We start from the raw sequence: 13,911 nt of genomic DNA, 5'->3' as shown, positions 1-13,911 counted from the left end.
CCCAGCTTATTTTTGGCAGAGATGGGGTTTTGCCATGTTGCCCAGGCTGGTCTTGAACTCCTGAGCTCAGAAAATCCACCTGCCTCAGCCTCCCAGCATATAGGGATTTACAGGCATTAGCCACCATGCACAGCCAGATTTTTCTACTACATATTTGATAATTATGAAAACTCACTACTAATAAATGCAAAAGCATCTGTGGGCATTCAAATTAAACACCAAAGGTAAGATTTTGTTTTGTTGTACTTTTTCCTGCTCCTTCTACCTCTAAAGCAAATGAATGAACCATAAAATATATAGATCAAGTCGAGGAATATCTTTTTTCTCTTTCCAGGCCAAATCTAGTTCTAAAAAATAGTGGTTAAAAAAAAAAAAGAAGGCCAGGCGCACTGGCTCACACCTGTAATTCCAGCAATTTGGGAGGGCAAGGCAGGACGGTTGTTTGAGCTTAGGAGTTCAAGACCTGCCTGGGCAAGACAGTGACCCCCATGTCTACAAAAAATACAAAAATTAGCCAGGTGTGATGGTGGGTACCTGTGGTCCCAGCTACTTGGGAGGCTGAGGTGGGAGGATCCCTTGAGCCCAGGAGATTGAGGTTGCAGAGACAAGAGACTGCGCCACTACACTCCAGCCTGAGCAACAGAGTAAGACCCTGTCTCAAAATACTTTTTTAAAAAGCAGTAGGCCCAACACAACCAAGAGAACAAGGAATCCCACAGCAAAATCAATACTCAACAAAATCAGTTGAGTCCCACAAATGATATAACACCATCATTTCCCTGTCTTGATTACCAAAGTATATTTTGAGATGGCTTGGAAATCAGGTTTCAGATTGTTCTAAACATCTCAAAGTGCTCCTGATCATTAAAAACATTATCTTTGATGACCGGGCGTGGTGGCTCATACCTGTAATCCCCACGCTTGGGAGGCCAAGGTGGGTGGATCACCTGAAGTCAGGAGTTCTAGACCAGCCTGGCCTACACGGCAAAACCCCATCTCTACAAAAAATACAAAAATTAGCTGGGCATAGTGGCAGGCGGCTGTAATCCCAGCTACTCAGGAGGCTGAGGCAGGGGAATTGTTTGAACCCAGGAGGCAGAGGTTGCAGTGAGCAGAGATCGCATTATTGCATTCTAGCCCAGGTGACAGAGTAAGACTCTGTCTCAAAAAAAAAAGAAAAAAGAAAGAAAGAAATTTACAAACTCAGCCAGGCACAGTATCTTATGTCCGTAATCCCAGGACTTTGGGAGGTCGAGGTGGGCGGATCACTTGAGGTCAGGAGATCAAGACCTGCCTGGCCAACATGGTGAAACCTGTCTCTACTAAAATTACAAAAAATTTAGCTGGGCGTAGTGGCGGGCACCTGTAATCCCAGCTACTCGGGAAGCTGAGGCAGGAGAATCACTTGAATCTGGGAGGTGGAGGTTGCAATGAGCCAAGATCATGTCACTGCACTCCAGCCTGGGCAACAGAGCAACACTGTTCCAAAAAGAAAACAAAAAAGGAAATTTACAAACTCTTAAATACACTGTAAGGTGGAAAATACTATTTTTAAAAAATATATGCATCAGAGGCCTGGCATGGTGGCTCATGCCTGTAATCCCAGCACTTTGGGAGGCTACTTGGGAGGCTGAGGCAGGAGAATTGCTTGAACCCGAGAAGCAGAGGTTGCAGTGAGCCAAGATCGTGCCACTGCACTCCAGCCTGGAGGACAGAGAGAGACTCTGTCCCAAAAAAAAATAATAAAATAAGGCTCACACCTGTAATCACAGCATTTTGGGAGGCTGAGGCAGGTAGCTCACTTGAGCTCAGGAGTTCAAGACCAGCCTGGGCAACATGGCAAAACCTCGTCTCTACAAAAAATACAAAATAATTAGGCATGGTGGTGCATGTCTATAGTCCCAGCTACTAGGGAGGGTGAGGTAGGAGGACAGCTTGAACCTGGGAGGTTGACACTGCAGTGAGCCGTGAGCATGCCAATGCACTCCATCCTGGGCAACAGAGCAAAACTCTGAAAGAAAAGAAAAGAGAAGAGAAGAAAAGAGAAGGGGAGGGGAGGGGAGGGGAAGGGAGGGAAGAAGAGAGAAGAGAAGAGAGGAGAAGAGAAGAGAGAGAAAGAGACAAAAAGAATGGCAGGTAACACTAAAGAATAAATCACAACTTCTTCACAGTTAGAGAGTATGGTTTAATGTTTTGGTTTTTTTTTGTTTTGTTTTTTTTTTTTTTTGAGACGGAGTCTTGCTCTGTTGCCCAGGCTGGAGTGCATTGGCGCTATCTCGGCTCACTGCAAGCTCTGCCTCCCGGGTTCATGCCATTCTCCTGTCTCAGCCTCCCAATTAGCTGGGACTACAGGAGCCCGCCACCATGCCCGGCTAATTTTTTGTATTTTTTAGTACAGATGGGGTTTCACCATGTTAGCCAGGATGGTCTCAATCTCCTGACCTCATGATCCGCTTGCCTCGGCCTCCCAAAGTGCTGGGATCACACGCGTGAGCCACCGCACCAGGCCAGTTTAATTTTTTAAAATGGGCTGGGCGCAATGGCTCACATCTGTAATCCCAGCACTTTGGGAGTCTGAGACGAATGGATCACTTGAGGTCAGGAGTTTAAGATCAGCCTGGCTAACATGGTGAAACCCCGTCTCTACTAAAAAAAAAAAATACAAAAATTACTTAGGCTTGGTGGCAGGCGCCTGTAATTCCCGCTATTCAGGAGGCTGATGCAGAAGAATCACTTGTACCTGGGAGGTGGAGGTTGCCAGTGAACCAAGACCGTGCCACTGCACTCCAGCCTGGGTGACAAAGTGAGACCCCATCTCAAAATAATAATAATAATTTTTAAAAATGAAAATATAACATTTTCTATACATAACACAATGTACTCAACTGAGACTAAGAACAATCAACTCATTCTTAAGGCCAGGCATGGTGGCTCACGCCTGTAAACCCAGCACTTTGGGAGGCCGAGGTGGGCGGATCACAAGGTCAGGAGATCGAGACCATCCTGGCTAACACAGTGAAACCCCGTCTCTGCTAAAAATACAAAAAATTAGCCGGGCGTGGTGGCAGGCGCCTGTAGTCCCAGCTACTCGGGAGGCTGAGGCAGGAGAATGGCGTGAACCCGGGAGGTGGAGGTTGCAGTGAGCTGAGATCACGCCACTGCACTCCAGCCTGGGCGACAGAGTGAGGCTCTATCTCAAAATAAAAATAAAAATAAAAATAAACTCATTCTTAAAAGAGTGAATACATACAATTCAGTGGTATATTGACAAAGTAGTGCAACCATCACCACTATCTAGTCCTAAGAAGGCTTATATTTAAATCAGACAAAAGACCTAAGAGATAACCTAAGCAAGAAACATGGAACCAGGCAAAAATTAATTTACACTGCAAGGGTAGAGAATGTAACCTAGAAACAGTGAGCAGCATAGGTCGCATCAGATGTTCTGTTGCAAGCAGAAAGTTAAAGGAAGAAGCCAATGTCAACGTATTTTTAAATCCTGTAAACAGTTTTTATAGATGGCCTCTATCTGGTGCTCATTTAAGGTAATTGTATAAATAAATTCCCCTGCCTAGACTGAAGCTGGGAGTCAAGCAGCCCTTGCACTATACAAGCTGAGTAATGCCCTTTTCTTCTTGTCACTGTAGCAGAAGTACCTCTTCAGTGACTTCTAACTACCAAAAGGCATAGGAAGCCCCATACAGCCTTATCAAACCTGGAAGACTCAGCCAAGGCTACCTGAGCATTTGGCAAAAGAGGTAAGTGAGGACTATAGAAGCCAACAGCAATTCTATCTAAAGAAGGGTGAGGGAACTCAGCAAGGCAGTGGAACTGACAGAGGGCTGTAAACAGAGTTCAAACACCTTCCCCAACCTCAGAGAGGCAAATTCCATCTCAGCTAAATGGTTTTCAGGAAAATAATATAACCTGCCTGTGTCTCAAAACTGGTAAGTGGCATCCTCCTCCTCAGAGCTATTTAGCTGAGATGCCAGAAGATGCAAAATCTGAAAATTTCTTTAATTAGTATCCTTCTTCTTGGCTTTATCAACTGCCGAGATTTCTGTGCTCAGGGCCGTGTCCTTGTCAACAAACAGTAAGGCTGACTACAAGATTTCTGCCTTGAAAATTTATGTTATGTTGTGATGTGATGTGATGCAATGCGATGCGATGCGATGCGATGCGATGCGATGCGATGCGATGCGATGCGATGTGATGTGATGTGATGTGATGTGATGTCACGTTAGACAGGGTCTCACTCTGTCATCCAGCCTGGAGTGCAGTGGTGTGATCTCAGCTCACTGTGACCTCTGCCTCAGCCTCCTGAGTAACTGGGATTATAGGCATACACCACCAGCCCAGCTAGTTTTTGTATTTTTAGTAGAGATGGGAGTTTTGCCATATTGACCAGGCTGGTCTGTAACTCCTGGCCTCAAGTGATCCACCCATCTCGGCCTCCCAAAGTACCAGGATTATAGGCGTGAGCTACCATTTTATTTTACATTCACCATTTTATTTTTTTGAGACAAGGTCTCTCTCTGTTGCCCATGCTGGAGTGCAGTGGCATGATCTTGGCTCACTGCAACCTCCACCCTCACCTCCCTAGCTCAAGTGATCTTCCTGCTTTAGCCTCCTAAGTAGCTGGGACTACAAGCATGCACCACCACATCCAGCTAATTTTTTTTGTATTTTTTTTGGAGAGATAGAGTTTCACCATGTTGCCCAGGGTGGTCTCGAACTCCTGAGCTCGAGTGATCCACTGGCCTTGGCGTTCCAAAGTGCTGGAATTACAGGTTTGAGCCACTGTGCCCAGCGGGAAATTTTAAAAATAAAATAAATAAGCCAAATCCCAGGTCATTCCAAAAATGACCAAATTAACCCTTGTTCCAGGACCTCTCTCACCAGGATCACCTGATCCCTGCAGCACTGAATCACAGATTCTTCCCTAGGCCAGCCAAAGCGTCCATCCACTGCCTCCACAAGACTAGCCCAGCCCTATTAGTGTCTCCTGCCTTCCTAAACATTTTGATTTTTTAAGCTCAGCCACCTTAAGGAAACTAAGTTTCCTTAAATTTCAACTGCCACATCCTCCCCGAAGGTTGTATCAAACCTGATAGGACTCCTGGTTAAAAACAAGAACTTCTGCTGTTTTAGAGATGTGACAAGTAAAAATGATATTTTTCAATCAGCCTATCGTCATCTTTTCCCTAAGAAACTAAAAGTGTTTACATATTTTGTAAATGCCAAAAACACTGCAAAATGTGTATTTGCACTTTTCAATTATAATTTTTTTTCTAAATGATGTTAAGCTATTCTGTCTTTAGCTCCTCCAGTTGGGATACCATAAACTATGCACTTTTTTTTTTCCTTTTTTTGAGACAGAGTCTCACTATATTGCCCATGCTGGTCACAAACTCCTGAGCTCATGTCTCGGACTGTTGAGTAGCTAAGACTACACGCACACATCACCACACTCGGCTACTGTGCATGTTTTATATCATCAGTGTCAATTCTCGAGTTTCACAATGGATTTCTATCCCTACATTGAAAGATTCCCTCTGGAATTTTCTTCGTAAGGAAGTTACTTCTGTTATATTGACACAGAAGTAAAGACTCAAAATATTTAAATTGTGAATAATGAAAGGACATGAGCCTGTTACCCTTAAGAAATGTAAAGGGCAGCTGGCCTCAGTGTCTTACACTTGTAATCTCAGCATTTTGGGAGTCCAAGGCAGGAGGATTGCTTGAGCCTTGGAGTGTAAGACCAGCCTGAGCAACAGCGTGAGACCCTGTCTCTACAAAAAAAAAATTTAGGCCAGGCGTGGTGGTTCATGCCTGTAATCCCAGCACTTTGGGAGGCCGAGGCAGGTGGATTGCTTGAAGTCAGGAGATTGAAACCAGCCTGGCCAACATGGTGAAACCCTGTCTCTACTAAAAATACAAAAATTAGCTGGGCACGATGGCAGGCCTGTAATCCCAGCTACTAGGGAGGCTGAGGCAGGAGAATTGAACTCAGGAGGCAGAGACTGCAGTGAGCTGAGATTGCACCACTGCACTCCAGCCTGGGTGACTGAGAGAGACTCTGTCTCAAAAAAAATTTAAAAATAGGCCAGACACGGTGGCTCACACCTGTAATCCCAGCACTTTGGGAGGCCGAGGTGGGTGGATCACCTGAGCTCGGGAGTTCAAGACCAGCCTGGCCAACATGATGAAACCCCGTCTCTACTAAAAAAATACAAAAAATTAGCTGGGCGTGGTGGCGGGTGCCTGTAAGCCCAGCTACTTGGGAGACTGAGGCAGGAGAATCGCTTGAACCCAGGAGGCAGAGACTGTAGTGAGCTGAGATCACGTCACTGCACTCCAACCTGGGCAACAAGAGTGAAACTCTGTCTCAAAAAAACCAAACAAATTTACATTAACCAGGCATGGTGGCACACGCCTGTAGTCCCAGCTACTCAGGAAGCTAAGGTGGGAGGACTGCTTGACAGGAGGTCAAGGGCAGCCTGGGCAACAAAGCAAGACCTTGTTTCTACCAAAAAAAAAAAAAAAAAAAAAAAAAAAAGAAAAGAAAAGAAATGCAGAAGGTACAGGGCCTTTGCTACAACGTCACTTTCAGTAGACCCAAAATGCCAGGCAACAGACCAAGTGACTGACCTAGTCATTGCAAATACTCACTTTCCAAGAAGAATTTTCCTTCCCAAGAATACAGAGACTGTCCATTCACCACATGAACACTGACGGGCTAAAGCAAGATATTGCTTCTTCCTACTAACACCACCTTAGTAATCCTCTAACTTTGTGACATTAGTTAATAAACCAGTACTAAAGTAATTCTGTAGCACTTCAGTTACTATAATTACTTTCTATGTTTGAGCCTTATTAGGAAACATAATCCAGAAGCTGTATCATTTTTGCTTAAATGATATAAATCCCTTTTGGAAAAATATCACAGCAAGCTTATATACTACGTAGTATGCAAACAAACCTAAAAATCAAAAGCAATTCTGCCTGCATTCATATGTCACAGAAACACTGTGTGAATGAGAAGATCTACAACCATTCCAAGATCTCTGGAGGAAGTATACTATATATAAACAGAAAAAACAACTAAGTTATATGTCCTTAGTTACATATAACTAAAGTCATAAGATAGTACCAACACTACTCCAGCTCCTTCTCCTGCTATGCAGAGCAGGAGAACTGATATTAGGTAGGCAAGGCATGTGATCAGCACTGGCTCCTAAAGCACATAAGCATTAGCTTTGTCTACTTACAAAAGGTCCACTTGCTTATTATTAAGTCACTTTTAAACTATACAAAAGTTCTAGAATAAAGAATCTAAACAAACACTTTATCTACTGCCAGTGGTCCTCAGGGTACATTAAAAATATCTGGAGGACTTCTTAAAAGCACAGGCTACTGGGCCCCACCCCAGAGTTTCTGATTCAGTAGGTTTAGGATGGGGCTTAAGAATTTGGATTCCAACAAGTTCCCAAGGGGTAAAGAGATGATGATGGTCCAGGATCCACTCTGAGAACCACTGCTCTATAGTTTACTTGACATAAGCTGTTGATTGCAGTCTTCAGCTTACAAGGTTTCTGCTGATCATTTAAAGATAAAATATAGGCCGGACGCAGTGGCTCATGCCTGTAATCCCAGCACTTTGGGAGGCAGAGGTGGACGAATCATGAGGTCAGTTTGAGACCAGGCTGGCCAACATGGTGAAACCCCGTCTCTACTAAAAAATACAAAAAATTAGCTGGGCATGGTGGCAGGCGCCTATAATCCCAGCTACTCCGATGGCTGAGGCAGGAGAATCGCTTGAACCCAGGAGGCGGAGGTTGCAGTGAGCCGATATCGCGCCACTGCACTCCAGCACTGGTGACAGTGCAAGACTCCGTCTCAAAAAAATAAAAAATAAAATAAAATAAATCAGTTTTGTCAGTTTTTCAACTTTTTATTGGAAATAATTTCCAAGTTACAAAAAAATTGCAATAATAATAGTACAGGGAAAAGATTCATATATGCTTTACCCAGGTTCAACTTTTTTTTTTTTTTTTTTTAAGATGAATTCTTGCTCTGTCGCCCAGGCTGGAGTGCAATGGCGTGATCTTGGCTCACTGCAACCTCCGCCTCCCGAGTTCAAGTGATTCTCCTGCCTTAGCCTCCCGAGTAGCTGGGATTACAGGCACCCGCCACCACGCCCGGCTAATTTTTGTATTTTTTAGTAGACAGGTTTCGTTCGCCATGTTGGCCAGGCTGGTCTCAAACTCCTGACCTCAGATGATCTACCTGCCTTGGCCTCCCAAAGTGCTGGGATTACAGGCGTGAGCCACCGCGTGTGGCCCCAGATTCAACTATTAATAACATTGTGATCCATCTACTTTATCAATACTCTCTTCCTTCCTTCTCCATTTATAGCAAGTATTATTTTCGAAACCATGAGAGAAAGCTGCATACATCACAGTACTTTACTTCTAAAAACTTCATTATGTATTTTCTAAGAATAAAGATACTCTCAGCCGGGCATGGTGGCTCACGTCTGTAATTCCAGCACTTTGGGAGGCCAAGGTGGGCAGATCACCTGAGGTCAGGTGTTCAAGACCAGCCTGGTCAACATGGCGCAACCCTGTCGCTACTAAAAAAAATACAAAAATTAGCTAGGAGTAGGGGCAGGCGCCTGTAATCCCAGCTACTCAGGAAGTTAAGGCAGGCAGAATTGCTTGAATCCAGGAGGCAGAGGTTGCAGTAAGCTGAGATCGCGCCATTACGCTCCAGCTTGGGTGACCAAACGAGACTCCGTTTAAAAAAAAAAAGAAAAGAAAAAAGATGTTCTCTAACATAACCACAGTAGTTATCAACTCGGGGAATTTAACATTGATACATCATCACCACAATCAAGATATAGAACAATTCCATTATACCCAAAAATTCCCTCATGCTTCCGCTTTATAGTTAACTCCTCCCCCAATACCCTGGCCACCACTATTTCCAATCCCTAAAATTTTGTCCCTTCCAGAATGTCACATAAGTGAAATCACACATACACATATAGTATGTAGCCTTTTTAAAAAATTGTAAGCTGGCTGGGCACAGTGGCTCACTCCTGTAATGCTAGCTCTTTGGGAGGCCCAGGCAGGTAGATAACCTGAGGTCGGGAGTTCAAGACCAGCCTGGCCAACATGGCGAAACCCCGTCTCTACTAAAAATACAAAAAATTAGCCAGGTGTGGTGGCACACACCTGTAATCCCAGTTACTTGGGAGGCTGAGGAAGGAGAATCGTTTGAACCCGGGAGATGGAGGTTGCAGTGAGCCGAGGTCATGCCACTGCACTCCTGCCTACACAACGGGAGCAAGATTTCATCTCAAAAAAAAAAAAAAAAAACAAAGTAAGCAAATACACATCAAATAAAATGCATCATTTTAAAGTGTACAATTCAGGAGCATTAAGTACATTCACAATGTCATGCAACCATCACTACTACCTAGTTCCAGAACACTTCTATCAGCCCAAAAGAAGTACCATAACCATTAGGGAGTCGTTCCCCATTCCCGCTTAGCCCCTGGCAACCACCAATCTGCTTTCTATCTCTACGGGTGTGCCTTCTCTAGATATTTCATATAAACTGAATTGCACAATATTTGGTCTTTTGTGTCTGGCTTCTTTTATAATGTTTTCAAGGTTCATCCAACTTGTAGCATACATCAGTATTTCATTCCTCCTTATGGTAGTGTATATATCCTTATGAGTCTAGTTTCTTTCACTCAGCATATTGCCATTGAGATTCATCCATGTTGTTAGGTGCATGAGTAGTTTCTTCTTCATTGCTGAGAAGTATTCCATTTTATATATATACTAGAGTTTGTCTAGTCACCAAAAGACATTTTACTCCTGGTACTTTTTCCAGAAATAATCATATAATTCAAGATAATTTACAATTCATGGGGTTATAATGTATTTGTAAATGGCAAATGAAAAATTCAAATATACACAACATATATAGGTCCAAAATCTCTTATCTACAATTCCAAAATCCCATAAATGTCAAGTTTTTTGGTAAAATTCAACAAACTCATTTTGAGGCAAATCCTGGCCTATACTGTGAGACTTTATTTACTCCTGTTAGTGAGAATATTAATAATTTTGCAGCGTAAGTATTATGTCTGAGTACACATTCCCCTGGGAGATATAATTCCCATATGATCTATGTAAACTACATTTCTATAACTTGAAAAATTCATAAGCTCATTTAACCTCACAGGTTCTAGATAAAATTGTGACCCTGTACTTATACAGCTCTAGAGGAGACAAAAATTACACTAATACATTACTAGAGTCAACGAAGAGGCGTTAATCTTCTCTCCTGTGTTATAGATCAGCCCTCCATTACATCAACTAACAGGACAGACTGTACTCCACAATTCCCCTCTTATGAGCAATATCCATCCTGCATGGTCTCTGCAGGTCATCACTCAGCCTAAAATATTTATTACCAGTTTTCACCTATGAATGTCACCTTTTTGTCTGTGCATACTGGTTCACATCTGTAATCCCAGCACTGTGGGAGGATGAGGCAGGAGAATCACTTGAACCCAGGAGTTCAAGACCAGCCTGGGAAACATAGTGAGACCGCGCCTCTACAAAAAGTTTAAAAATTAGCCTGCCATGGTGGTACGCACCTGTAGTCCCAAATACTCTGGAGGTTGAGACAGAAGGATCACTTGAGCCGAGGGGTTTGAGGTTACAGTAAGCTATGATCGTACCAATGCACTCCAACCTGGGCAACAGAGTAAGACCCTTTCTCTTATAAAAAAAAATTTTTAAGTCACTGTTACTACTAAGATTCACATTTTTTTTTCTTTTTCTTTTTAAGAGACAAGGTCTTGCTATGTTGCTCAGGCTGATCTCAAATTCTCAGGCTCAAAAAATTCTCCCATCTCAGACTCCCAAGTAGCTAGGACTACAGGTGTGCAACACCATGCCTGACTACCACATATGATCTTTTAACAGTAAACACTATAGTTCTTAGAACATCTGATTGTTCCAAGACATATTCTTCAACAGATATGTAAGACCTAAGCTGCACTGCTGTGAAACCTACACTACCCTTTTATGTTCCTCACCTGAGGGGAAATCACAGCTGCTCTTCACATACACCATAAATAATAATCTATTCCATGCATATAGGGAACCTACCGAGTGTCAAGCACTGGTGGAAACAAGAAGGAATAAGGCTCCTGCTGACATTCCTCTCTAGTGAGAGAAATAAGATACACAAAACCACGGAGAAAAATATCAGTGATAGATCCAATACCACTGACAGATTCAATCCAATCAGTGACCAGTGATAGATCAGTGATAGATCCAACTGAAAAATACCAGTGATAGAAATATCCAATCAGTGATAGATCCAAACAAGGATATGATGGAAAACAACTGCCCGATGATTTTAGATTTGAGAGTGACACAAGGCCTCAGAGACGTGAAACTGAAGCCAAGAACTAAACCCCAGAAGACAAGTAAAGATCAGAGAGAAGAGTAGTGCAAAGACCCTGACACAGAAAGAAGTTTGTATTGGTCAAAGACAAGAGAAAAGCTCAGTGTGGCTACAGCAAAATAGGGTAGGTGGAGGGCAGTACTGAATGAGATCAAACAGCCAAGGGTCAGCTCACGCATGGGTTTGTAAGACAAAAGAAGAAGCTGGGAATTTCTTCCAAGTGAAGATGAAGGCCCTAAGAGGGTTTTAGACATGGGAGTAACATGATCTGGCTGATATTGTCAAAAGTTCATCCTATTTGTCACATAGAGATGTAATATAAATAACATGAAACTAGCAATCCAATTCTTTCACTAAAAAACAAAAATAAAAAACACAACTTAACAGAATGCCAAGAAAAGATTGTATTTGCTGAAAGGTATTTTTCGTTTTATTTTTAAGCACTGCCCTGAATGATTTCCCATGTGTATCAATGTCTTCAGTCTGCCAATTCTAACAGCTACCACAATCGGCAAATTTAAGAACTTCCTCTCTAGACACTATATGTTAATACAATTTTTACTGTCCTGACAAATTTGACAATTAGAAAGTCAATGAATACTAAAGAAACTGGAGTTTGAACTGCTATTTAAATATTAAGACATCTCCTTTCCTAAACATATCAATACTTAATGAAAGCACAGTTCATGAAACCAGACTGAGGTTATTATCCTGAGAGTTAAAAAGCATCTCCAGCCTGTAAATTCTACCTTGAGTTCCCAAAGAAAGCATGTATAAGGCATATGCAAAAAATAAATATAACCAACATAAGTGAGATACCAAGAATAATAATATATCTACTCTTACTCATGCTTCCACAAATTCAGGGTTGATGTTTTTAAAACAAATAAATAATTGGCTCTCTGAGAAATAATACTTCTGAGCTTGTTCTCAAATTACAGAACAAATTATTTCTGAACTTAACACCATATTCTTTCAAGCACCAAAATTTATTTTGTGGATAATTTTCCTCTGCAGAAGCATTCTGAAGAAGTTATCTAGTTAATGCAAAATTTTTATCCCATGATAAACTGCTAATAGTAAATTATATCCTCAAAATATGACATGTTCTTACTTGAAGATGTCTTTAACTGAATTACTGAAATTCTAAGTTCTGTGAAGACTCATGCTCTATTCCCTTCCATTTAAAATTCTGCAAAATAGGTCACCTAAAGATTACCTTTATTTTTAAATAAATAAACTTATTATTATACATAGTTCTAAAAATATTGGTCAAAAACCTTGAGTTCTTGGCATTTCACCTTTGCCTACTTTTACTGTAGTAAGATTTAAAGGAAATGACTGAAATTGGTACTGTGAAATACAACTAGGAGGATATTCTGAAAAGTTTAATCTACCATTCAGACCACAGAACAGATGTCAAAGGGAAAGCTCTTCTGGGTCTATTCATGGATTTCAACAAAATAACTGTAACAGGACTCCATTCTCAAAGCAAAACTGAAAATTAAACCACTAATTTGTACAATTTCTCTGGGAAGTCATAAATTTTACTGAAGCAATGAATGTAAAATTTTACATACAACAAGCTTATTAAATCCTATTAGGCTCAAGCATAAACATTCCACCACCATGAAGAACATGCATAGCAAGTTTAATAATTATATAAAATATATTCAAGGCAATTGCTGCAACACTCTATATATCACAGGCATTCAGAAGAACTGGAACATGCATCCTCATCACCCATGTGTGGACAAACATCCACAAAGAACCACAGCTAAAACTAAAGCTGGTTGTTATTTGGAGGCACCAACGGGAGGCTTCTGGAAATTTTAATTGTGGTTTCTTGAAACAAATTTTAAGTAGCACATGATGCAGAGATCTGACAAAGACCCTTCCTAACCCAAGGCCATATGCAAGTCAAGAAACTCACCTGTGTTATACTCCTTCAACTGCAAGTTCTTTACAGGCATGCCATCAGGAGTCCGAAAAGCATTAAGAATCTGCAAAAATATGGCATTTATACAAATGATACAAATCATAATCAAACACTGAATATCAGATTTTCCCTAACAGTTTTTATCATACATAATTTAAAGCCATGATTACTTTGGAAAAGCAAAGTTAAACTATGAACACTCAAGGCATTCACATATTGAATGAGTAGAACATAATTATTCAAAAATTGGTGGGATGCAGTGGCTCCTGCCTATAATCCCAGCACTTTGGGAGGCCAAGGTGAGAGGATTGCTTAAAGCCACATGTTTGAGACAAGCCTGGGCAACATAGTGAGACCCTATCTCTAAAAAAAAAAAAAAAATTCTTAATTAGCCAGGAGAGACCGGGCGTGGTGGCTCACACATGTAATCCCAGCACTTTGGGAATCCAAGGCGGGTGGATAACCTGAGGTCAGGA

At 41.8% G+C, this 13,911-nt stretch overlaps 1 protein-coding gene across 15 annotated transcripts in view; it reads right to left on the bottom strand.

Moving 5' to 3' along the window:
* Positions 1-13,911, bottom strand: part of RBM6 (RNA binding motif protein 6) — a 137,100-nt gene that overhangs the window by 88,428 nt on the left and 34,761 nt on the right. For 12 of the 15 annotated variants that reach the window (XM_047447131.1, NM_001349192.2, NM_001349193.2 and 9 more), the window contains one exon: positions 13,430-13,499. The exons of the other annotated variants lie outside the window; for them this stretch is intronic. In XM_047447131.1, the coding sequence (XP_047303087.1) occupies positions 13,430-13,499 (70 nt within the window). The remainder of the gene's footprint in view (positions 1-13,429; positions 13,500-13,911) is intronic. 15 annotated transcript variants of the gene reach the window in all.

The sequence above is a fragment of the Homo sapiens genome, chromosome 3 (genome assembly GCF_000001405.40).
Source record: "Homo sapiens chromosome 3, GRCh38.p14 Primary Assembly".
Lineage (NCBI taxonomy): Eukaryota > Metazoa > Chordata > Mammalia > Primates > Hominidae > Homo > Homo sapiens.
The sequence above is the reverse complement of the archived record's forward strand: the minus strand, read 5'-3'. Positions and strand labels throughout refer to the sequence as shown.